This window comes from Homo sapiens, chromosome 1 (assembly GCF_000001405.40).
Source record: "Homo sapiens chromosome 1, GRCh38.p14 Primary Assembly".
Lineage (NCBI taxonomy): Eukaryota > Metazoa > Chordata > Mammalia > Primates > Hominidae > Homo > Homo sapiens.
In genome coordinates, this window is record NC_000001.11 from 239,809,220 (window position 1) to 239,835,316 (window position 26,097).

Here is a 26,097-nt window from a genome sequence, read left to right on the forward strand (position 1 = left end):
CCATGTTAGCCAGGATGGTCTCGATCTCCTGACCACGTGATCCGCCCGCCTCGGCCTCCCAAAGTGCTGGGATTACAGGCGTGAGCCACCGCACCCGGCCTCTGAAGTCTATTTTTAATCCAAAGGCCTTAGAAGGTCAACTTCTGAACCCATAAGATTCCAGCAGTGAACCCAATGTCTGTTCGCCCACTTCCTCATTTTTTTCTTTCCATCTTCCCTCACTGTGTCCCCTTCCTAGGAATGAGTCCGAGGTCCACTTACTGTTTTTTTATTGTTTTTTGTTTGTTTGTTTTCTTGAGATGGGGTCTAGCTCTGTGGCCCAGGCTGGAGTGCAGTGACATGATCACAGCTCACTACAGCCTCAACTTCCCAGGCTCAAGTGATCCTCCCACTTCAGCCACCCAAGTAGCTGGGACTACAGGTGCACGTCACACCACCTGACTAATTTTTAATTTTTTTTGTACAGACAGGGTCTCCCTATGTTGCCCAGGCTGGTCTCGAAAGCCTGGACTCAAGCTATCCTCTTGCCTCGGCCTCCCAAAGTGCCAGGATTACAGGCGTGAGCCACCATGCCTGGCCTACTGTAGTTGTTTTCCAATTTGCTTCACCAAAGTCTCCTTTTGTCCTTTCCACTGAGATGTTTGGGCCTTATGAAAAGATAAGAAAGCCACACTCTTCTGCACCTGGGCTGGTAGAGGGATTCAGTAAAGATGAAGGTAGCAGGTAGTGTCTGCTCGACTAAGGAGGAGGTGTTATAGCTATTGCAGATCTTTATCTTGAGACGGGTAAGATTCTGCATCTGCCTTAAGATTCATTGCACTCAAAGGAGGCCGCGTATGGAATGCAGCCACCATTATTGTAGTGTTGATCTGCGTGTGCCAAGCCACAAGCTTGGGGGACAGAAGCTGATCTGTGTGTTGCAGCTGCCAGCATATAATGACTCTTCTTCCACGCATCCTTTTGCATTCCCTAGGGCCGTGATGAAATGCCAGCTGTGAGGTAATCCTCACCAAAAAGGGATCCTTGCTGCTTCGGATTCCCCAGGAGATTCAAGGAATGCGGGGGGACTTGAGGGCATGCTTTGTCTTCCCATTGAAGCTCCGTTGCAGAAAGAGCCACAGACATAAGGGGGCTGAAGTCACAGCCTGTAGTTTCCCCAGGGCGGAGGGGACCACGCTGCTTGTCTTCTCAGGGATGAGGATAGCCAGGCCAGCAAGGGGAGTGTTACTTCCTGCTGTGAGATCAAAGAAAATGCTTCTCAAGATCATTGAGGGGAACAAGCCTGGAGGACTGAGAAGGGGGAGGATTTCCAAATGATGTGTTTAGGATTCAAGAATTTCAACCCATGTCACTTATCCCAAATGTTATTTGCCTGAGATTTACTGGAAGTTGCATTTTCCAGTAGCCACCATTGAGGGCCGAGTGACAAATGTTAAATTCAGAGTAATTATAATTATTATCGGCATGTCCTTGGCCAAGGCCAAAGGCACCTTGATCACTTGTTAGTGAGAGCTAACCCATGAGGTTGAACTATTTAGTTGTGATTAAACACTGCTACCTGTTTATCAACCCTTTGAGGCCAAGAGCAGTAGTTGTCCTCATTTGACCATTCACATCCTGTGTTGTGCCCTGGTAACATTTCTGAAAATCGCCATCTGTAAGAATAAATTTCATTACCAAGTACCTATCCCTGTTTGTACAGGTTCTAACTGAGCTACGGCTTCCAAAGAAATCCTTGGAATCGCCATAAGTTTTGTCTCTAAAAGCACAGAACCACCTTCATATCTTGCCTATTCATAGTCAAATTAAACATATATGTGTGAATTAAAAGTGTCCTTCCTTTTAAAGTGTTTTTGAATTCGAACAGTTTATGAATTTGAACTGTTTTGTTTTATTGATAGAAGCCGTCCTGACTCAAAATCCCAATAGCATTTCAAGGTATCCCAGAGGATGTGCTGTGACTGGAGAGCAGACCCACACAATGAGGTTCATGCGTTTTGTGTTTCCTAGGTAGTCTGCCATTAGATTTATTTTAGCTCTTATGATGTGGCAGCACAATTGGCGCCAGAAAGCGTGCTGACATGCTAACCGCAAGACCCATTGTCTCCCATGCAGGCCATCCAAGACCGCTGTGAAAATTAGCTTCCTTGCCAGACACTTTGATCTTGTCACTCCTGCACCGAAGGCTCCTTGCTGTGCCCTAAAGCCCTTCACATCAGCCTCAGCTGTTGCAGCCCAGCCCTTCCCTCACCACAGATTCTCCCCTGATCTGCTGTCAGCCTCCTCTGCTCCAGCCTAACAAAGCTATTCACAGACTCCTTTGACAGCATCTGACACTTTTGATACTTTGCTTTTCCTAGTACAATTCACCAGAATAGAATGAGGTAAAGCATTCTTATAAAGCAAAGTCTCTCTCTCTTGCATGTGCTGGTTTCATTGGCTGCCTAACCTTTAGAAATTAGAAAAAGATACACCGGAATGGGACCTGCATATTGACTCATGCTTTGCATATTTTATGTGGCTATCAGGCCACCTAATGTTAAAAGTTTCTCTAGGGGAAATTTCTAGGAGGAGAAGGAGCTGTTTCAATATTACTTTAAGCAGCACAGTTTGAGGATGTTTTAAAGCCTTTAAAAAAAAATAGACAATTTGTAGCAGCAGAAGATACCTGATTATGAGGACGCAACCAAACTAATGGATAGATTTTGCAAGTAAGCAACATGGAAAAAGGCAGAAGGCATAAGTCAGTGTTTAATTCATATCGATTTATGAGTTTATTCATTTGTTTAATAAAAAAGTCTATCAAGAGGCTGATATGTGCTAGGTTTTTTGGTTTGTGAGACAGAATCTCCCTTTGTCACCCAGGCTGGAGTGCAGTTGCACTATCTCAGCTCATTACACCCTCCTCCTCCCGGGCTCAAGTGATTCTCCCACCTCAGCCTCCCGAGTAGCTGGGACCACAGGTGTGTGCCACCATGCCCAGCTAATTTTTGTATTTTTTGTAGAGATGGGGTTTTGCCATGTTGCCCAGGCTTGTCTCATACTCCCCAGCTCAAGTGATCCTCTGGCCTTGGCCTCCCAAAGTAATGGGATTACAGGCATGAATCACTGTGGCTGGCCAATTTGATCATTTTTATATGGGATTTAGTGTGTGCTGAGTAAGGTACCTAACATCATTTGAGCAGTGGTGGCATTAGGTAAATGCCTTTAGGTAAGAAAGAGAACCCTATCCACTGAGTAGAACAACTCAAGGTGTTACGTAAAATGAGAGATAAACAAAGGAGATTAGAGGGTTTTTGCATAATTAAATACAAAGTTGGATGGTTTAATTTTCAAAGATTTTATTTAAAGTGATTTTGTATAAAGGTCTGTGTAAGGCTGACTTACACTAATTGTGTTTTTCTACAGTGGCAAAACAAAAATTTATTTTCAAACATATGCTTCTAATGAGCAAACTATCCATTTATCATGCAAAATTAAACAGTGATCTAGCCACCATGGGCTGGGTGCCTACCTGTGCCAGCCCTGTGCCAAGCACATTACTCAATTTCCAATCCAATGACCTGAAAGTACAAAGTATTTTAATCTACTGATGAGGCACAAGGCTCAGAGGGGTTAAATGTCCAAGGTCACATAGGTGGGAAATAGCAAAGTTGGAGTCTGCCCTCCAATGCCTCTCCCTCCAAAATGTGCACCCTTTTCATCACTGCACCATTTCCTGAACGGTCTCTTGCAGAAAGCTGGTTCCATGAAACTTCCTTTAAAAAATACATTTTGTGGCCAGCCACAGTGGCTCATGCCTGTAATCCCAGCACTTTGGGAGGCCAAGGCAGGCAGATCACAAGATCAGGAGTTTGAGACCAGCCTGGCCAATACGGTGAAACCTCATCTCTACTAAAAATACAAAAATTACCCTGACGTGGTGGCGGGTGCCTGTAATCCCAGCTACTTGGGAGGCTGAGGCAGGAGAATCGCTTGAACCCGGGAGGCAGAGGTTGCAGTGAGCCGACATTGTGCCACCGCACTCCAGCCTGGGCAACAGAGTGAGACTCCGTCTCAAAAAAATAAATAAATAAATTTAGTAAAAGGTACTTACTGTATTCTCTCTTCAGAGATTCGTAGATGCAAGTCAGTATATTAATGGTTCTAAGAAATAAAACTTAAAGAGAGAAAAAAATAATTTGGACTAACTGGCTAAGTCCATAAGTCATTAGACTAATGACAAAGTGGCATTTCTAACACTTCTGTGACCAAAAACACTTGTTTCTTTATACTATTAATTTTTGCAAACATTCATCTTTCTCAGCTGCCTCAGCAAATATATATCTTCTACTCCCCTAGTCTTCTCCAAAATAGAGAGAAGACTTCAGGAAGTCCCAAGAAAGTGAAGTAACAGAAACCATCAAACTCACAGTTGGCCGGGCGCGGTGGCTCACGCCTGTAATCCCAGCACTTTGGGAGGCCGAGGCGGGCGGATCACGAGGTCAGGAGATCGAGACCATCCTGGCTAACACGGTGAAACCCCGTCTCTACTAAAAATACAAAAAATTAGCCGGGCGTAGTGGCGGGCGCCTGTAGTCCCAGCTACTCGGGAGGCTGAGGCAGGAGAATGGCGTGAACCCGGGAGGCGGAGCTTGCAGTGAGCCGAGATCCCGCCACTGCACTCCAGCCTGGGCGACAGAGCGAGACTCCGTCTCAAAAAAAAAAAAAAAAAACTCACAGTTGTAGACTGCCTTCCTATTGATGAAGCCCTTTCCTTTTATTTGCACCCAGATGTCACAATAATCCTGTGAAAGTCATTACTCGCTTTAAGGAAAAATAAATAAATAAATAAATACATAAACTAATGCAGAAACAGTCTCAGAAGGCCAATTTAGGAATTTTTGGCTATTTAAGTCTAAATTTAAACAAGGGATAATAATCATTTTAGGTGTCCCTGGACGAGAAGTCAAATTGTTAATTTTAAAGTGAGAACTTTAGTGTGGGTTCTCCCTCTCTTTGTTTCTCTCTCTCAGTATTTTAAATTCATGCGCATTACCTAGGTTTTGCTCGTGGGAGATGTTTGATTTTTAAGAAGGGCACTGTGGAGTGTGTTTGGTGCATTTCTCAGCAAATCCAGCCTCCTCTCCTTACAGTGTTGGCAGCTTTTACTCTTAGTCACACGTAAGAGAAATGGTCATGAGTCACATCAAAGCTGCCTGGGGCTGGAGATGAATGTAACATGCATTTCAGAGATGTCCAGAGCTCCCTCTGCCTCCCAGCCCTCACCACGGGAGGAAATGCACCTGTTTTCTTTCCTCTGTGGTAACTGTCATGCGTACCTGCCTGCACCTTTATCATTCAAGATGCCAATGAGATTGCCTTTAATGCTGATTAAGTCTTCCCTGAGTTGAGACAAGTGATTAGTGACTATGCACTAGTGAGAAAGATGGTCCACACACAGAAGTCCTATAAATGATAGCTTGTGTTTCAGCCCAGCAAGTGGCTGCTGAGGGTGACTCACGGTCAGGTCAGTGATTTTTCCTGTTACTCTGCCGTTTGCTTTTCTTTTCTATTTTTTTATTTATTTGTTTTCTTTTTTGAGACACAGTCTTTCTCTGTCGCCCAGACTAGAGGGCAGTGATGCAGTCTCGGCTCACGGCAACCTCTTGCCTCCCTTCAAGCGATTCTCCTGCCCAGACACGTAGCTGGGATTACAGGCACACGCCACCATGCCTGGCTAATTTTTATATTTTTAGTAGAGATGGGGTTTCATCGTGTTTGCCAGGCTGGTCTGGAACTCCTGACTGCAAGAGATTCACCTGCCTCGGCCTCCCAAAGTTCTGGGATTACAGGCATGAGCCACCATGCCCGGCCCGCTGTTTGCTTTTCCTTTTCTTTTCTCTGGCAAAGTACCCATTGATCTTTTTTGATGCAGTTTAGCACTGTGTCATGTTATTGGATAGTAGAGAAAAAGTAAATTTTAAGACTGAAGCCAGTTGAGAGGGATTTATCAGTAAAATTGAAAGTAGCTGTGCTGATTTATCTATGCCTTCCTCTGTACTGTCAGGACATATCAAAATGTACCCATTCTCATGACTCACCGACCGGAGGAAATGTGTGACTTTAATCCGGGCATTTAAACTCTCATCCTTTTGTCTTGTGGAGTTTTTCTCTTGCATTTTTAATCAAGTTTTGTTATTTGTAAAATTAAAAGGCTTGTCCAAAACTTTTAAAGTCCCCTCCTGCCTTTTTCTCTGATTTCATAAGCAATATATAAACCCCTATTTTCATGTGAATGACATTATGCTTGTTTTGGGAGTTACAGTAATTTAAACCAAGCATATAGTACAGTGGTTCTGAAAGCTTACATCTTGCAAAAAAGTAATTTGAAAATTTGAAAACAATAAGCTTATAGACTAAAGCATAAAGAAAATGCCAGCACATTTACCACAGGGTAGGTCTAATTCAGCCTACTGGTAACCAACTCAAATGCAAAACAAAATGATAGCTGAACAATGAGCAGAGGTAAATTGACTTTGGGAGGAGGCTGAAGGCGTTCTCATATTGGGACCTGTATTTGATCTTGGAGCACATGGTGCCTCGGTCTGAGGCTACATCTTAGGTCCAGGTTTTATGCATCTTTAAACTGCACTCTTAATTAACTCTTCTCCAGATGAATGATGCGCAGTGACAGCACTTCAGCAAAATCAATATGGTGCTTCTGTCTCAATAACAAATTAGATAGTATTTCTGGGTCAGTGTAGTTCATCAGATATCAATACATTTCAGTCTGGTTTGTCTTTTTTTTTTCTTTTGCTAAAACTTTCTCATTCTGGGGGGGAAAAAAGAACAGACTTCCATGCCAGCTTATTGCCCTCACACCCTCCTCCCAATTGTCACATATCCAGAGGATTCACCCACCCACCAGTTTGCTGCCATCTAGGTGGCCTAGTAGCTGGCAGAGCTTCTGAGCTGCAGAGAAGCATCCAGAATGCAGAGAAGGCGGTGCTTTGCGATTGATGGCTGCTGCTGCCCCTCCCATGAGGCTGATTCAGGCCAAGGGAATGTGTTTGCCTTTCTTCAAAGACGTGGTCTTTCCTAATACAGTCTTGCTTCACTACTCCACCGGTGTTGCTCCTTTTTTTGTTCCTTTTTTTAAATCTACGTAATCCTGTTTTGCTGAGAAGCTTTATTAATAACTTCTGAGCATTCCCTCACTAATCCCCACAGAGCATCTATATGTAAGATCTATATTGCATGACACTGTTTAAAGCAAGGCAAACTGAGGCACAGGCAGAAGAGGGAGGGAATCAATCCCAGACCTCCAGATAACAAGCTCAGAATGTTGCTCCCCAGGCCTGCTTGCCCTTCTCCTGGTCCAGGAAGTACCAAGCAAGGTGGATTTCTTCAGGAAGCCACTGGGCAGCATAATCTAGTAGACTGCCTGGGCTCAAAGCCTGACTAAGCCCTATTCTGCCTGTGTGACTGAAGAAACTGCAGAAATAATATCCAGCCTGTCTGTGCCTCAGTCTTTTTTTTTTTTTTTTTGAGAGGGAGTCTCACTCTGTTGCCAGGCTGGTGTGCAGTGGCACGATCTCAGCTCACTGCAACCTCCACCTCCCGGGTTCAAGCAATTCTCCTGCCTCAGCCTCCTGAGTAGCTGGGATTACATGTGCCCACCATTATGCCCAGCTAATTTTTTTATATTTTTAGTAGAGACAGGGTTTCACCATGTTGACCAGGCTGGTATCCAACTCCTGACTCCCCCACCTCGGCCTCCCAAAGTGCTGGGATTACAGGCGTGAGCCACCACGCCCAGCTGCCTCAGTCTTTATCAATAAACTAGGGATGATATTAGCACATGTGAGGCACTGTGAGCTGATGTATGCCAAAAGCTTTGCATAATATATGGACACAGACAGTGCCTCCTAAGGGTTTACTATGCCTGTCTTCTCTCCACGGAGACAGGAATATCCACCTCTTATACCATTGCCCTGTGGGGAAAGCAAGACCAGACCCTGAAGGCTCTGAGGCTGTCCTGGAGCTCTGGAGACTAAAAGAGTAATTTTGAAGTTCACTGTGAAACCATGAAGATCTGTTTAAATCCAGGCTAGCTCTTCCTTCCATCTATGTAACCTTGACTCATTTGCAAAACTATCTTTCTCTTCTTACTTTTCCTTTCTCAACTGGTATTTCATGGTCAGTTTGATGTGAGTCATATTCCCTAATTGTGTCACCCCCAGAACTGCCCAAATCTTTAAGACAGAATCCAGTACCACTGAGATCACCATGGGCCAGAGCTCTGGGACCTCCTGCAATATCTCAAAGGCATGAGGAAGCTTCCCACGGGCTACTGGAGGCACTGTCTTTGGCTTCCTCTGCCTTTAGCCTCCACCCCCACCCACCTGTTCTCATCTAGTTTGTCCACCCAAAATGCACAAGGACACACATGCAAGACCCCCATCTCCTCCCTCGAAAACTCACAGTGCTCCCTCTACACACACACACACTCGCACAGATCTCTAAGCTCAGACTTTTAGAAAGAAATCTTCCTTGGCACACTCAGGGAACTGTGATTCCGTCCCATTAAGCAGCTACAATGTTACTGTCCACCACCCTCTCACCCTCTCAGCCCACCCCTTGTTCACATGTCAGGTGCCACTTACTAGCCACGCGACTTTAGAGAAATGACTTTCCTTTCCTGAGCCTGTTTCTACATCTATGAAATGGCGATAATAAAGCCTGCCTTACCCACAGGCTTTGAGAATTAGACGAGCTAATAGTATGCCTGGTATTTGGCACATTTTCTTAATCTGTTTGGGTTGTCACAACAAAACACCACAGCCTGGGCGGCTTAAACGAAGGACATTTCTATCTCACAGTTCTGGAAGCTGGAAATCCAACATCAAGGTGCAGGCAGAGTTGATATCTGGTGAGGGCTCTCTTCCTGGATTGTAGATGGCCGCCTTATCACTGGGTCTTCACATGAGTTTTCCTCTCTGTACCCACAAAAAGAGAACTCTGATTTACCTTCCTTCTTTTACAAAAACACCCATCCTACTGGATTAGGACCCCAACCTTGGGACTTCATTTAACCTTAATTATCTCCCTAAAGGCCCTGTCTCCAAATTTGGCCACATGAGGGATTAGGTCTTCAAACTATGAATTTTAAAAAACACAATTCAGTCCATAATATACATCATAGGGGCACAGTGACATTTGCCCTCACCCTTTCTGAGCTTCCTCCACTCCCTGGAAGCTCCTTGGTGTCCAGTCTTTAAAGCATATGGATGCGTCTGCCTCATCTTGGAGTCCTGCTCTCAGTGCAGTCCATGGACTAAGAGCACCGTAGCCCTGCTTCTCACACAGGGCCAGCCTCTCATTTCTGGAGTTTGTACTCCGGAGAGCATGGCCTGTGCTATTGATGCCTGCTTCCCTGTGTCCAAATTTATGACAAGCTTAATTTCAAGATCTAATTGGCTTTTATTTGCAATTCTAGAATTAGGCAACACCTCATGCTATGAAATAGAATGGATGTTCTGCTGAGCTGAGCAGACGGAGTTGGCTTTATGGGCAGGAAAGGGCTGAAGAAGGCAGAAACAGAGAACACAAAGCAGATTGGACATTTCAGAGTTACCCTCCTAACAGGGTTAAAGCTAAGTGGACTTCCTTATGATGCATGCTCAGGTAAACTGGGCCCCTTCCGATTGGTTGCTGTGAAGCTCCTGTTGTTTGGAAGAGTGACCCATTTCCAAGTTCAGTTTGATTATGTGATACTGAACACAAGTGGCTCCACTCTGCTTTGGCCTGGTCTGCTGGGGCCTAGTGCAGGAGCTCAGTCTAAAACAATGGCTTCCCATAAACTTTGTTTAACATGAGCCAGTTATCCTCTCAACTTTCTGCCACTCAGCCAGGCGACTACCTGACTGGAGTCCCTGGCCAAGCAGATAGATTTGCGCTCCTTAAAAGCTCTACCTTGTTGCACCCCTAACCTGCTCTCCTTCCAGTCGATGTCACCCCAAATAAACGAGGCTAGTAGGCACAGACCCCACAGTCACAGATAGGTCTCTTAGGTCCCCCTGCAGGAGATCTCTGGACAGGCAGGTGGAAATTCATTCATGCACTTGAAGGGCTTAGATCAACACTTTACACATTCTGAGGTTTCCACTGTTTCTTCCGATCAGCTATCATTTTGGGTCCTGTTGCTCCTTCAGAGGAAGAAAAGTATGAGTCCACAGTTGCTTCTAGCTCAGCCTGTATCTGACCTCAATTTCCTATTACTGCCTGTCTGCGTTAAGCAAAATAGTTCATTGAGCTACATACATATTTAAGCAATCGGGGAAATTTGATCAAAAAGTTCAATAAATATATAAAAGCCTGTAGGAAAGATTAATGGAAAGATCAGGTAATAACATGAGATGGCTGTGAGAAGTATTTTCTGTGTTGAAATGTTCATTAAAGAAGCTCGTATGGTAAAAATATCAGTAAGGCACAATCACCATGAGCTTAGACATATGCAGACCTGCTAAATCAAAATGAGATCCTTTTGTGAATGTGTTATTTGTAGTGAGGCTTGAAGCACAGAGCAGACGAGAGGTGTCTAAGAGCTTTTCTTCCTGCCAGTCATCTTCTGGTTTTCACGGAAGAAGAGACAATGTGATTGCCATGGAATTCCGTACTTCCCTCCCCACAGCATTGCCCCACTCATTCCCTGACCATGATTTCTAGACACAGCCTGTCCAACCGGATGCCTGGAGACTAGTGGCCGAACCTGTGCTCACTGGGCAGTGAGAAGGTGGGTGAGGTCACACCCTGTGTTTACCATGTCGGTGAGAGCTCCAGGGTAATTCACACAACCTGTTTCCGAACCCTCAAGCCCAAAACAACGATAGACCACTTCCCCTTTACCCTCAGAAGGTTCGCTGAAAAATCAGCTCACAATAAGGCACATTAATGGGAAAAAAGTCTTTATACATTTATTCCTACTGTGCACACAGGGAGAATCACAGAACAATTACCCAGTATCCCAGTGGTGCACAGACGCTTATACATACTACTTCTTAGGGAAAGGGAGGTAGGAAGTGTGGGTGATTCTAGGCGGTTAGTAAATGATTTTTAGGGGAATTTAATGGGCTTGAGGAACAGACAGTTGTCTGGGGCAAAGTCTGTTGGGGCCACAGAGCAGATGATGGTGTGTGACAAAAAGTCTATCCCGATATGTTGGCAGACTTTCGTCTTCCCTCCTGCGATATCTGTTCAGTTGATGAAAACTTGGAAAAAGGACCAGAGGTTATTGTTTTCTTCTATGATAGGTCCGGATTTTAGGCAAATACGGGAAGTTCAGAGAACAATCTCATCCTATGCTTCGGGAGAGATGTTGATGGGGGGAGAAAGGTGATTAGAGAGACTTTGAGGCTTTTTTTTCAGTACAGCATGTACAAAGTGCCATATTTTGGGGTACTGGTTTGTGCGCCCCAGCAACAGGAAGATGCCATGTTGGTCTTCAAGACAACAAAACAGGTGACCAAAAGTTGTGCCCTTGCTGTTCTGCATTCCAGAAAAAACTATGCATTTCTTGAAATAATTTTATTAGTACTATCCAGAAAGGAACCATTATATGAATGTATCAGATTACCACATATACCCCCCAAATTGCAAATCTATTATGTATCAATGAAAAATAAATTTTAAAAAATGTTAGTATTTAAATTTATATATTGTTCACTAGGGGCTCACACAATATGGGCATTGAGTGAAATTTCTTTTTCTTCTCTCCTTGCTTATCTTTCTCTTACACTGACAAAAAGAGGGCAAACTAGGAAAGGTATAATCTTGCATGATTTATGTGGGTTTATTATCCTCTTGTGATGCGCCATCCACAACAAAAAGAACTACATGTTCTGACTTCATGGGTTCAGTGGCCATCCCAAAGCTAGAAGAAATTATTTGTGGTATGGTTGTTTTTTAAAATTCAAAAGGCCTGTTAACTCTATGGTGTTTCCAACATCCAGGATAAAGCTGACCAACACTTTCGATGAAGCTATTGAGTCTCTAATGAGACATATACACATTGATCTCTGTTTTATCTGACATAAAAATGGCATTTGTAATCTGTGCCTCAGTTAACATACTTCAGCATATGGGGTAGGTGTGAGCTGTGTCCTACAAGGCAGGGCAAAACCACCTTGCTTTCTTTACTTTGACATCAATGCTGGTCTTTAAGTGACTCTCTAGTCACACATCCACTATCAGGATATTCCCAGAAATTCTCTGATGTACATTCTGATTGCCCCTCTTTCCAGTGGGACATACACCACTCAGTGCTGGCTGGGAAATAGGAACCAAGTGGCAGGGGCCCCAGGGGCACCAGTCTCCCAGCCACTAGGATGAGAAATGAACCCTCACCATGCACGTCAACACACAATCCCTTTTGGGATAGAAAGTGATCACATTTGAAACTACTTTATTGAAGTTTAAATTTAGCTGGAACAGAATTTCTAAATTCCAGAATCAGAATACAGTTTTCTAAAACTGTACTTGGAACACTTGGAAACTGATATGGTTTGGCTGTGTCCCCACCCAAATCTCATCTTGAATTGTAATCCGCATAATCCCCACACATCAAGGGCAGGACCAGGTGGAGGTAACTGGATCATGGGGTCAGTTTCCTCCATGCCATCCTCGTGATAGTGAGTGAGTCTCACAAGATCTGATGGTTTAATAACTGTCCAGCATTTCCCCTGCCTGCACTCACTACGTCCTGCCACCCTGTGAGGAAGGTGCCTGCTTCTCCTTTGCCTTCCACCATGATTGTAAGTTTCCTGAGGCCTCCCCAGCCATGTGGAACTGAGTCAATTAAACCTCTTTCCTTTATGAATTACCCAGTCTCGGGTATTTCTTTATAGCAGTGTGAGAACAGACTAGTACAGAAGCTAATAGATGAGCATTAACAGAAATATTTCTGCATAGAAATCTAATTCACTAAATTATATCTTTCGAAAGTATGGCCCCACAACCAACACAATTAAATAGTAATTGGCAACTCTTGCCCTTTTGTAACCAACAAATGGTACCCGTAACTTGGTTCTGATGCTGAGATTCCTGGAGTGTCTTATAACTTGGGTTGTGTTTCTAAAACAAGGATGGAGAAATAACTTAAAGATAGCTAAACCGAGTACTACAAATTGCAAGAGAGCTTTTCTACTTTCTAGGGATGGTGTTATTTGTTTAACCAGAACATCCAAAGGTGGATGTGCGGTGATTATAATGATTTATCTAGCATGAAATGTGAGCATATTAAAGAATCCTTATTCTACATAAACCAAATCAATACTACTTCAAATAACTTTTACAACTTGAAAAATTACAGACACCGATTTAAAAATGTAGACTGAGCCCCAGATCTCAATCCAGGAAGTAAGTTTCTAGTTATATTTAAATAAATTATCATAATCCCAGTAAGCACAGAAATTCCTTTTATTTAATCCCATGTTGACTCTAACATGCAAAGCAAAGAATATAATTAATAAAAGTTAAATTTGTGTTATGGACACTAACATCATTGCTGAATAATGAGACATGGAAAGGGGATTTTCATTAAGTTGTGCCTTTGTGGAGCTTAGGCAATTTGCAACGTTTGCATCATTACCCAAGTAATATAGGTACTTAGAGTAAAATGTTATAGGAGGAAACATAAAAGATATGTGTTGAGACCCAAATCCAGCACTTGTAATTTCCCCACAGTTACAAAGTGGCAAAGAAATAGACTAAAACCCTGGTCTTCAAAGAAAGAAAGAAAGACGTTAATAGAAATAATGGTTCGCCAGGTACCCAGGAGTTCAAGGCTGAAATTTTACAAACCAATGGTAGACAGTTTATCACAGATTTATGCCAAAGTGAGCGATTTATCCTCGCACATAACCTAATAAGCTCTAACATTTGTGCAGCATTTTATACATTTTAAATTACTATTTCCTACACCATCTTATCTGATCATCAAGAAAGCTCAATGAAAGAGGCAAATAAGGTAATATCCCTCAGGAAACTAGGCTCAGAGTCAATGACATAATCATATTCAACTGGGAATATTAAAACCAATAGCCTCATAGAATCATAGAGGAGAGACCTCCAGGTACCATCTAGTGAAGCCTGGTGCCTTGAGCAGGATGGTATCTAATGTGCCCCAGACAGTTGACAAGCCAATTATGATCAATTCCCCCAGCCTTGGTCCAGGGAGGCCACCTGTGAGATGCCTGGGACCCAGCCCGGCTTATGCTGGTTTTCTATGCATTTCGTTCATTCAGCATTGGGACCATAATGCCTTCATGCCTGATCCCCGCCCTCTCAGCCTCAAGTCAGTACCGTGAGAAGGATATATTACTGTCGACTCTCTAAAATATTTTTAATTTAATCACTTATTAATGCACTGAAATCATCCTTCAGAAGCAATTATAAACATAGGCTAAGGATTAAATAAATGATTTTTCTCATCAGGAAGTGGTTTATGTGAGATTTTTCCAATAGGAAAGGCCAAAAAAGCGAACAACTCAATAGAACAGAAGACCCTTTTGTGGTGTCTTTTTTAAGTAAAATGACAAACTTGGGGAAAAAATAGTTTTCCAAAAGGAATTAGCAAGAAAACTGGCAAGCAGATAGAATGTCAGATGATGCTAAAAGAGTGACAAATGCAGTCAAGGAAACTATAACTGTGTAATTGTGGGCGGAATTAGATCAGACGCTGACCTTTCACAAACACCTAAAGAAAACAGCTCTCGAATAATAACTGTCGAAAGGAGCCTGCAGGGTTCCCCGTGTGCCTGTGGCTGTGACTCGGGAGCATGTGCGTGACCATCTGCTACGGGCACAGAATGCCAGGCTGCCGGCGGTGCCCTCTGTCTCGTTGGTGAGGCCGCATTTCACTCCAGCTCCTTGTGCCATCGTATCACACATCTTTGTTCTCTACTCTAAAATATAACCACTTGTTTTATATCTTGAATGTAGCATAGAGAAGCTTTGCAATTTTATCACCAGAGATGCCATGGTGTGAGCTACGGCAGAGAACAACCGTCAGCAAGTACATGGATCCTCTTCCATTTAGGACCAAAGATTGCACAAGGTGGACTCGGTGCCTTCAATCGAGGTGTTTCAATGTGCAAATGTAGACTTTTTCCCTTGCTTAATGTATAAGACAACCCAGTCCCAATGTTCGATACTTGTGCAATGCCAATAGAATTTCATTTATGGCTGGCATATAATCACAAAGTTAGGTGAAAATGATAAAAACCTCTTATCTACAGATAAGCAAAAGATAATTAATGAATATATTGATTCTTGCTCCCTGTAAGGGGGAAAAGCAGTCTAAAACAATTCGCATATCTATAAATTAGGATCACGTTTGTGTTCCTTTGTCCTTAGAATTATGATTATCTTAACAAGAAAATACTGACCAAAAGTCAGCCTTGTAAAACAGAGTTAGCTGTTAAGAACACATCCAGGGTAGAGTGGAAAACAATTAACATCTATTGAAATACTCACCAGTTATAAAAAGTTATAGTAACATGGGACAAACCAACACAGGTATTGACAACAGTTATAAACAAAATCCTAACCAAGGAGATCTAGTGGCTCTGCCTGAAAGATTCTGCCTCCTTAAAGTATTTCAGATCCAATAACTTTGTTATTTCTTTCAGCTATTCCAATAAGGCCTGATTCCTTCAAATAAAACCTGCAACTTCAGCCTTCTCAACTTTAGCCCATCTTCATCAGTGGCAATCATCCTTAGCAGTTCATGCATTCATTCATGTATTTAACATACATTTACTGCGCACCTGCCAGTGCACGTGCTGTGATCAGCACTGGGTTACAGTGGTGGGCCAAGCAATTTCTTCAGGCCTGTCCTTATGGGACATACAGTCCAGCGGATGCCTTTTTAATTCTGAGAAATTCACAGTTGCTTCATTGTAGTGATTGCTCTGTGAAAACTTTAAAATCATGGTCATTCGTATTTTATATCAATTCACTAGCATTCTCCTCATCTATTCAGGCCAGTACTATCTATTCTAGCCTAAAGAACACCCCATGCCTGCTCCGCCCTCTACACCATGTATTTCTCAACTTTTATGATGATTATATGCACAATACACATATGCCAAGTGCCCTCCCTCTCTCTTTGCCTTCAAATCTTCTCTCTTGCTACCTTGAAAGTGCCGCTCAACAATTCCATCTTCTATAAAGTTCTCACTTGACTTCAGTGATTCCCACAGTACACTCAGCACTTATATATGACTGTAAGTTCTCGTGGTGTATGTATGTTATTGTCATTCTGTGACTTTGAGCTTTAGAATTACTCATGATATGAACAGGTATTTGTATACCTACATTCATAGCAGCATTATTCACAATACCCAAAAGACGGAAGCAACCTAGGTGTCCATTGATGGATGAATAGGTAAATAAAATGTAATATACACATACAATGGAATATCATTCAGTCTTAAAAAGGAAGGAAATTCTTTTTATTTTTTTTTATTTGGAGACAGGGTCTTGCTCTTTTTCCCAGGATGGAGTGCAGTGGTGCGATCATAGCTCACTGCAGCCTTGAACTCCTGGGCTCAAGTGATCCTCTTGCTTCAGCCTCCCAAAGTGCTGGGATTACAGGTGTGAAACACTGCACCTGTCCAGCAAGGAAATTCTGATAGGTGCAACAACATAGATGAACCTTGAGAACATTATGCTGAGTGAAATAAGCCAGTCACAAAATGACAAATACTATATGATACCATTTACGTGAGGAACATAGAGTTCCTGGGGACTCCAACAATAGAATGCTGGTTTCTGGGAACTGGGAAGAGGGAAAATGCAGAGTTATTGTTTAGTGGATAAAGAGTTTCAGTTTCGCAAGATGAAAAACATTCTAGGGAAGGATATATATCATTGTGAATATTCTTAATGCCACTGAATTTTACACCTAATGGTTAACATGGTAAATTTTATGTTACATGTATTTTACTACAATTTTTTAAAAATCTTTTTTAAAATCACATATGCTCATCCCCACCACCCTCGCTCCCCATTTGGTTGTAAGGAAATTAAGAGATGCTGCATTTTGCGATCTTATAGTTCCTGTTGCCATTTGTTCTGTAAACACAGGAAACATCGGATGAGTAAATATGCTCGATAGGCATACTTGAGTATGACTGCAAAGTGACTACCTAAGACAGAGAGAGAGAAAAGAGAATGTTCTTCAGCATCAGTGCATCTCTGGTTTCAGTATTATGTGGCAGCCATGTTCTGGAGGAAACCAAGGTCAGTGTAGCCTAGATTTTCAGGAGAGGACTGTGGCAAAGAAGCAAATATGCAAAAAAATTACCTTAATCTACAGGAATGAAGAAATGAAAAGTATCGGGAAAAGTAACCAATAGAAAAGCTACAGAGTTAATATGGGAGGAGGGCACTTTGTTAAATAGATTTTTGATAAAGGGTAGAAGCAAACACGATCCTGAATGAGAAAAACCTATAAGCAATGTACAAAATATGGATAAAATAAGATGGAAGAAAATGCCTCAATCTGCTGAGGGAAAATGCAAGAAAAGATCATTTCTACAATAGAGGAAAAGACATGAACCAATAAAAATAATAATATTTCTTTCCAGGCCAACACTAAACATAAGTTGCAGAGCTGGCCTGTGGTGGAACTCACAAGTCTTATTGGCAATATATGTGAGGAGACAAAAAGCAACATATGGAGAAATACAAAAATATACTCCCTAGAGATACTGCCTCTTCAGATGTCAAGAAAAACCTGGATGAAATGAAGCAAGAGTGGCACGCTGCAAAGTTACAAATTCAAGGCCACCCACAGAACCAAACATTAACACTTAGGTAACTTGCTACTGAAATAGTCCCTTTCTTTTATGACTTCAGTTGAAGACTCTAGGGAGGGAAAACAGAGACATTGGATCATTCTATGATGCTTAATGACTCCACCATTAAAAACAGGAATCCAAAGTGGGAGAAGGAACTGACTCCTTGCCTGGTTTCTGTCTTCCCAGGTGGAGCTGGTCTCTTGGGCAGCCTGACATCTGGTCCACTCCTCTGTCCTATGCCGGGATCATCATGACCGTAGAGATTATGTCACTGTTTTGCATCCTTGTTACATAACTCAGTTCCTGGTAGATTGTAAGTACACAGAAGGCATTTTTTTAATTAAAAAATGGATGACTGAATAGAAGAATGGACAAATTGCCTTTTTGTATTCTGGCCACTGTTGATTAGTTACGTGACCTCAATTAGGATATTTTAACTCTGTGTGTCTTTGTTTCCTCATTTATATGTTGAAGGTAATGATAGTTCCTACCTACTGCACAGGCTTCTTGAAGATTAAATGACATAGGGTGGGTAAAAGGTTTAGACTAGTACCTAGAAATAGCACGTTTCACTAAAAATTACCTATTACTCATATTATTTTTGCTAAGTGATTGTATAAACCTAATAAACATCATATATTTTACTATGCACAGATAATTTAAAAATCTTATAAATACAAATTTAACCCACAAAAAAAAATTCAACATAGTTGCCACCTAACAATAAAACCTTCCCTGCTCATTAATTCATTCGAGGCAGTAAGTCACATTGAACTGCAAATATTTTTACAGTGTCTAAGTGTGAAAAACTAGAATACCTTTAATGTATTTTAAATTAAAAAATCATTATAAAGTGCAGCATGTAATTCTTTACATTCTTTTTTCTAACACCTAGGAGACAATTTAACTTTGTGTTTCAGATATCTGTTATCATAAATTATTCATTCCTCATTCAACACATATTTATTAAACACCTACTACGTTCTAGATACAAGGGAGGCAATGGTGAAGTAAACACAGCTACTGCTCCCTTTGAGATTCTGTTTCTGTTAGGAAAAAGAAATACACGCACACAAATACACACATGGTGACACAGAGATACACATATATACACATACGGATATTCACACATAGATATAGACACATACATACATACATAGACACACATAGTTACACACACATAGATATACATACACATAGATACATTCATAAATACACACATAGACACATGCACATAAATATACACGTGTGTATACATACATACAGATATATACACATATATATATGCACCTATATAGGTACACATACATAGATACACACACAGGTGTATATATACACACACTTATACACACACAATGTTGTGGGACCATAACTGGCATGAAGAAAAATTATTACAAAGGGTAGAGCATGAATAAGATGGCTTCTATAGCGTATTCAGGGAAGGACAGTCTAATATAATAACATTTAAGCAAAGAACTGATTGAAGTGAGGGTGCTCTCTGGGAAGGGACCAGGTCAATGAAGACAAACGAGGAGGTGCAAAAGCCTGAGGTGGGAGCACATTTGGAGTATTCCCGGAACAGCATAGATGCAGAACGGACAGAGAACAGTGGGCAAGGGGAGAGGGGTATGAGAGAAGGTCGGGAAGGCACCTGGGAGCTAGAATATCAATGCAGATTTTGCTCTAAGAAAATGGAGGATATCAGAGGGACCCTGTGCTAAGGAATGATGTGATCTGAGTTAGGTTTTGGAAGTGTCACTCTGCCTGCTGTGCGGATAGCGGATGGGAGGAGATCTAAGATGAACAAAGGAAATCACTTCAGAGACTTTCAGGAAATGGTCATGGCTTGGACTAAGATTTGGGGCAAATTTAAAGTAGAGCCAAAGGGACCTGCTGATGCATGGGATGCACACTATGAGGGCTAGATCTGTGACTATATGTGACCTGCTGCAGCAGGTGTGCAGACACTTGCTTTCTTGAAATGTCCTTGACGTTGCTTTTGTTGTTGCTGTTATTGTTTTGCTTTGTTTTAATTTCTTTCCATCTCTGTGATTAAAGCAGAGTGAAGTTAATGAATCTCTGTGGCGAAGTGGATTGTTTAACTGTAGGTATGAGTAGAACTGGCAGTTCTAAGTCTAATTCCAACAGTGGGAATTTTGGCCCTTCTGAGCTTCGGTTTCCTCAATTATAAAGTAAGAAAAACCGCTAGCTTTGCAAGTCTGTGCCTCTCCTACCAAAAGCTATAGTATTGGTGTCAGTTTGGTCAAAGATTTTCCCAGTTGGTACAGCCCCCTGGGACTGGGAAGGCATTAGTTCAATTGACTGCAAGGACTGAATGATTTTTTTTTTTGAAAAAGAAAAGAAATTTTAAATTTTTTATGTTGATTGGCTTGGTTTCCATTGAGATCAAGGATTATTCCAGCAACTTTAGTTATAAAACACCTGCTATCTGTTACTGTATTTTACTTTCTATACCAAAAAAGCATGTATTTTCAGATAAATTTCAATATATCAATCTTTTGTGTTTCATCTTATAACAGTTTTACTAAAAATTGTTTGACTCATGTGGTCTTCAGGTTGGGGAAGGCTAGGACAGATGGCACAGCAGAGTGGTTAAAGCAGGGTCTCAGAGGCAGACTGCCTCGATGTGAAACCCAGCTCTGCCACTTACTGTGTGACCTTGGGAAAATTACTCACCCTCTCTGTGCTCAATTTCCCTATCTCTAAAATGGGAATAACAGTAGTACTTCCCTCAGAGCCTCAGAATTGCTAGGGTAATCAAATGACTTAATGTCCAATAAGCACTTAGAACATTGCCTGACACATAGAAACACCAAATAAGAGCCCCTTATAATTACTATTTTTGTCTCTACTCAAATACTGTACCTGCCTCTATTTTTGAAGAATTTGAAAAATACTTGATATTTGAAATCTCTGCGATTATTTCAAGGAATTTAATAGCAAAATGATACCTGGGCCTTGGAACTGTCATTTAGGATGGACTGTTTGTGAAATATGCCTTTTTAAAACATCATGGATTTTCAAATCTGAAAGAACTCAGTTCATCCTGCCCTGCTCATTTAGTGGGCCTAAGTATTTGTGGAAATTCTTTCTGAGCTTATATTCATACATCTGTCAAATAAAGATTAAAATATGTACTTCTTGAGGTTGCTGTTAGGACTAAAAGAGATAATACATGCAAAATGCTAGAAAATATATTAATATTACATTCTTTACCTCTCCACCCTCAGTCAAAATATGTGTGACTTAAAGCGGTGTATGTGAAATTTAACATGATGCCTTCAGGATTCAGAAATGAAATGTCTGTGGAACACACATGGATAAGAGTTGCTTACTGCTTGGCACAGTGGCTCACGCCTGTAATCCCAGCACTTTGGGAGGCCGAGGCGGGCGGATCACGAGCTCAGGAGTTCGAGACCAGCCTGGACAATATGGTGAAACCCCGTCTCTATTAAAAATACAAAAAAACTAGCCAGGTGTGGTGGCGCGTGCCTGTAGTCCCAGCTACTTGGGAGGCTAAGGCAGGAGAATTGCTTGAACCCAGGAGGCGGAGGTTGCAGTGAGCCAATATTGTGCCACTGCACTCCAGCCTGGGCAATAGAGGGAGACTCCATGTCAAAAAATAAAACCAAAGTTGCTTACAAGAAAATAAGACCATTAATGGTGACATTTTCCCTGTGAGCAAAGAAGACCAATGATGTCCCTGAGCTGTGGACACCGCTAGGCTCCTACACCCAACCTCTGCAGGACCACCCTACAGACTCTCACCCCCCTGAAACAACCATATTTTTGATTGGTGGTTCCTCAGTCCTAATTTCAGAACACTTAGTACCAATGGGCTGAGGAGGTGGAAAGTTCCCCTATTCATTCCATGAGATTTTCAAAATTCGCTTTGTTTGTATTTGGGATTTTTTTTTTTAATATGGACTTTGTATTTTAAAAGTACATTTAAGAAGGGGCAGTGCCATGTAACATTTCGTTATTATTGACTGCTCTGTCACATGTCTCCAAGAGGTAAAAGCAGCATTGCTTAGAAGAAAGAGCACAGCCCAGCGAGTCAGGACACAGGGCTGACCCGAATGCACCCTCACCAGTCAGGAGACGCTGACTCGGTCATTTCCTCTCTCCATTTTCTTAACTCTAAATGGAAGATATTGAACAAGATGGTTTCTAAGACCTTAATTCCATCTATAATCCTTTGATGTAGGAACATCAAAGGAAGCTCCTGGTGGTCACTCCCCTCGGGCCTGGACAAAACAGGAGAGCAGCCAACTGGTAGGCCTTCCTCAAAGCCCTCTCTGCCAAGTGCCTTACCAATGCCCTCTTGATCGATTAAGGCAACACAGTGTCACAATACTGGAAGGAACCGTTTTTCTTTGACTTGTTTAATACATTTCTGTTTCAGACCCTATCATGGTAAGTATTCTGGCCATTTTAACAGACATAAGCAGAAAAATAAGAACTCATCCTCTAATTTTGTCTGTGGTTATAGAAAGAATATCAAACAGACTGATGGAACTGTTGAGAATCTTAAACAAAGAGATAGTTTATCATTTCAAGCATAGCCTGGCAAATATCTGTCCTCTGGAAATTAAGTCAGAAGTTCAGTTGCACATGTGAGGCCCGGGGGTGCTTGACCCAGACATATAAGTGCCATGTGGGAGGGGAGGATCTTTGGCCAATAGCATCCTGGAATACCATTGGCTAAGTGTCCTGGCCATGAAATCAGGTGTTATATAGATTAAAGCCAATATCTGAGTGTTTTATCAGGAATTAGGCAGTAAGGCTTTTAAGCAGTTAGAAATTATTATTTTCCTCCTAGAAGCATCCTTCCCCAAAGGCAAACAGCCATTACCATGCTTTATGTGATGTGCTTTATCTGTGTATTTACTGAAAGACCATCACACTTTTGCCTCAGTTGTCATGCTCATTTTTTGGCTTGTGACCTTTATAGAAATGAAGAAAATAATTAACTCTGCCTGCTTGTGGTCGAGGACAGAAGCTGTCACTGAATGTTTTACGGTAAAATCACTTGAGAGGAAGCAGCTGCATGTGAGCCTGCACTGTCCCTCCATTGTACGGGTGGCACCTTGATTTCTGGAGGAAGTCATGCTTTTTCATGGGTTCGTGGCCAGCCAGTTACCTTTTGTCACATTTTTGTTCTTCCTTTATAATTTTGTCAAGCTGAGAAAAAAAAACAACTGCCACAGTGTGCAGAAAGCAAACTGGAGTCTGGTGCTGCCATTAAGCACATCTGTATTTCCATGGCAAATTGTTCAACTTTGAATGACTTTTTCTTAGCAAAATCCCTAGTATTCGTCTTCATTCTTAGAAAGGGAAGCAGCCTCCACTGTAGTCATTCCTTACTTGACCATGCTAAGAAGCCCTCGTAGCCTTCCTTAGCAGTAGACAAACTGTTACCGGGAAGGGGTCCTGATCCAGACCTTAAAAGAGGGCTCTTGGATCTCGTGCAAGGAAGAATTCAGGGCAAGTCCGCAGTGCAAAGCAAAAGTAAATTTAGTAAGAAAGTAAAATGGTGAAAGAACAGCTGCTCCATAGACAGAGTAACGCATTTCCGAGAGTAAGAGGAAGAACACGTTCATCCTAGATCCAATACTTGTTTATATACAGGATTAAAAAAGATCATGGGGACATATGCTCTGCTACATGGGTTTGTGATAAAGGATTCATTTTCTTAATTACTATATTTTGCACGTATCGATATTATTATCTTTAAAGCAAAATTAGGAATGCTTCTGTTCTCAAGATATTGGGATATCAGGACGCTCCTGAGTCTGGGTCTGTTTAGTTAACGTCATCAATCTGTTCCCTTTACCGTAAACATCAAGAGACTAGGAATGCCTAAGTTTCTGGGAACACAGCCCAGCAGGTCCCAGCCTCATTTTTCCCAGCCCTCATTCAAGATGGGGTCTCTCTGGTTCAAACACCTCTGACAAAACCATCTCTGGACCCATTGTGCAGATTTCATAAGCTACAAAGCCTTGTATCTCAGTCCCCACAGACATTTTAATGAAGCTGCAGTTCAGTACTGACTTGAATTTGAGGTCCACCTCCCTTGTTGTAAGTATGGGCCAGGCGTGGACCAGAGGTTAAGGTGACTTGGTCCCTCCCTTTAGAAGTGAAGCTTTTTCCTTGCATCAAGTTTATATACTTCAACTCTTTCCCCGCTTGGGATAGGATCTTTCCAAGCAAGCTCCTTGACTGCTCATGCCAAGAAACCCTGGCTTTGTCCTATGACTAGGATGAATATAGTCTAGACTCAGGCTTGGTGTCCATGGAAACCAAGAGAAGAACCAGGGGAGAGGAGGAGTTTCTCCAACTCCTCCAGGTGGTGCCTTTCAGAGGAGCAACTTCCTGGGTCACATCTTATCCTTTGGCCTTCTCACTACATCCCAGTGGAGGTCAAAACCAGGACTCAACAAAGGAGGCTAATACTTTCAGACCCAGGGGTATTCATGGGATTTTGGCCTCTCCCCAAAACCTCGTTGTGACCAAGCCGAGGAATTCCTGCACGCTGGCTGAGGATAACTTTTTTATTAATACATCCCCGAGGAGGGGACAACCTTCCATGCATGCTCTTGATAACTGAGTGTAACAGATTCCCTGGTGGAGTCTGAAGGCTCTGGCTTGGGATTACTTTCAGCATAAAACTGCCTCATTACCAAGTCCTTCTGGAGCTTCTGGAGCTCAGCTCCCTTGGAAAGTGTTCAAATCAAAGCTACCTTTATACCACACTCCTTTGTGTCCTGATGTCCTGAATAGTGAGATTATCGGGTACACCCACCTGTTCCTGCACTTCCTTCCTGCTCAATTTAAATAAACAATGAGCTGTTTTTCTTCTTGACAAAGAGCCAGTCTATACAACAGCAGCAGGAAGATTACTTTCTATCTGTATGCAAACAGATACATAGCTGAGTTCTCTCCAATCCCCGGGAAAAGACCCTTTTAACTAAATGACTTATGCTTCTGTTTCTTCATGTATAAAATTAGTGGCTTGGTGCTGAATAACCTCAGTCCCCTTCTGGCTGTATAATTCCACATCACACACACACACACACACACACACACACACACACACACACTGGGGAGGACAAAATTTGCACACTCAACAATTAGAGAAAAAGCAAAGTAGTACATGTTTAAATGTTCAATAAATACTCAACTCTCTACCATAATACCCACGTTTCTTCTCAACTTAATGCCTTTTTTTTTTTTTTTTTTTTGAGACGGAGTCTCACCCTGTCCCCCAGGCTGGAGTGCGATGGCACAATCTCGGCTCACTGTGGCCTCTGCCTTCCAGGTTCAAACGATTCTCCTGCCTCAGCTTCCCAAACTTAATAGGGGACTTACTTATTCTCTCTCTCCCTGCACCATAGACCTTTAGGCAATAGAAATACCCAGCCACTAAGCAATCCCGAAAGCATTCTACACTTACCTGCTCCTGACAGCCAAGTTCATACAGTCCCCACTAATCCAAATGCTCTTTATCCTTCTACTTTAGGTGAATCCCACTCAGTCTTCAAAGACCTGCTCATCACCTCCCCTGAAGGCAGAAAGTGTAGCTGTCTTTCTGAGTATTCATGCCTCCTCGCTCAGACCTAGAGCACAACACTTGAAATACAGTAGCATGGCTTACTGTGTATACGGCTGCCTCCACCAACTAGGTTGAAAATTGTTCAGATTTCACTTTTTTCTACCCCACGATCTAGTACCACACTCAATGTAACAAAGTTCTCAATGATATTCACTGGGTACACCTTGAATATATTTTCTTAGGAAAATGTTTTTTACATAAATATATTGAGGCTGAAGTTTAACACATATGCTCAGTCATATGTCTAAAGTCAGCGGTACAGGAAAAGCAAATGGAAATATGGGTGAGCTTTGGTTATAGGCGAATTAGTTCATTTTCATTACTTGGAGATTTTAGAGGATCAGTTTACTGAAGATTCAGGTAATGGGGCTGTAAGTCAAGGGACAAGTCATGTTCTACCTTAAATTGCCATTGTGATTTAAACATGTTTCCCCCTTTAGCAGTGTTTTGTCTAGCAACAATTAAATAATAAATCACATGGAGGTCTCGCTGGCCAACAGGAAACTGGGCAGATCTTCAGTCTTTCCGGATCCTCCGTGCCAGCATGATTTTATACCTTTTGTTTGAAGATGAACAGAGCTGGCTCTGCCTTTCTTCCTTTCTTTCCCCTTTTCT

The 26,097-nt window shown here is 42.1% G+C and overlaps 1 protein-coding gene across 33 annotated transcripts in view, besides 6 other annotated features; it reads left to right on the plus strand.

Moving 5' to 3' along the window:
• CHRM3 (cholinergic receptor muscarinic 3) overlaps positions 1 to 26,097 on the plus strand; it is a 528,883-nt gene that overhangs the window by 422,652 nt on the left and 80,134 nt on the right. For 17 of the 33 annotated variants that reach the window (XM_047443115.1, NM_001375982.1, XM_011544044.3 and 14 more), the window contains one exon: positions 18,033 to 18,159. The exons of 6 other annotated variants lie outside the window; for them this stretch is intronic. The gene's annotated coding sequence lies outside the window, so the exon portion shown is untranslated. Of the gene's footprint in view, positions 1 to 7,755; positions 17,287 to 17,633; positions 17,863 to 18,032; positions 18,160 to 26,097 lie in introns of those variants that run through there. 10 more of the 33 variants (NR_164748.1, XM_011544043.3, NM_001347716.2 and 7 more) reach the window with 2 other exon arrangements.
• Positions 588 to 1,089: an enhancer, noted in NCBI's record as "NANOG-H3K27ac hESC enhancer chr1:239973107-239973608 (GRCh37/hg19 assembly coordinates)". NCBI's record gives its function as "activates a minimal SCP1, AML or CMV promoter by ChIP-STARR-seq in naive H9 embryonic stem cells {active_cell/tissue: H9 hESC(naive)}" and the evidence as "EXISTENCE:reporter gene assay evidence [ECO:0000049][PMID:30033119]".
• Positions 1,090 to 1,591: an enhancer, noted in NCBI's record as "NANOG-H3K27ac hESC enhancer chr1:239973609-239974110 (GRCh37/hg19 assembly coordinates)". NCBI's record gives its function as "activates a minimal SCP1, AML or CMV promoter by ChIP-STARR-seq in naive H9 embryonic stem cells {active_cell/tissue: H9 hESC(naive)}" and the evidence as "EXISTENCE:reporter gene assay evidence [ECO:0000049][PMID:30033119]".
• Positions 1,592 to 2,093: an enhancer, noted in NCBI's record as "OCT4-NANOG-H3K27ac hESC enhancer chr1:239974111-239974612 (GRCh37/hg19 assembly coordinates)". NCBI's record gives its function as "activates a minimal SCP1, AML or CMV promoter by ChIP-STARR-seq in naive and primed H9 embryonic stem cells {active_cell/tissue: H9 hESC(naive and primed)}" and the evidence as "EXISTENCE:reporter gene assay evidence [ECO:0000049][PMID:30033119]".
• Positions 2,094 to 2,594: an enhancer, noted in NCBI's record as "OCT4-NANOG-H3K27ac hESC enhancer chr1:239974613-239975113 (GRCh37/hg19 assembly coordinates)". NCBI's record gives its function as "activates a minimal SCP1, AML or CMV promoter by ChIP-STARR-seq in naive and primed H9 embryonic stem cells {active_cell/tissue: H9 hESC(naive and primed)}" and the evidence as "EXISTENCE:reporter gene assay evidence [ECO:0000049][PMID:30033119]".
• Positions 5,138 to 5,679: an enhancer, noted in NCBI's record as "OCT4-NANOG-H3K27ac hESC enhancer chr1:239977657-239978198 (GRCh37/hg19 assembly coordinates)". NCBI's record gives its function as "activates a minimal SCP1, AML or CMV promoter by ChIP-STARR-seq in naive H9 embryonic stem cells {active_cell/tissue: H9 hESC(naive)}" and the evidence as "EXISTENCE:reporter gene assay evidence [ECO:0000049][PMID:30033119]".
• Positions 24,436 to 24,979: an enhancer, noted in NCBI's record as "NANOG hESC enhancer chr1:239996955-239997498 (GRCh37/hg19 assembly coordinates)". NCBI's record gives its function as "activates a minimal SCP1, AML or CMV promoter by ChIP-STARR-seq in primed H9 embryonic stem cells {active_cell/tissue: H9 hESC(primed)}" and the evidence as "EXISTENCE:reporter gene assay evidence [ECO:0000049][PMID:30033119]".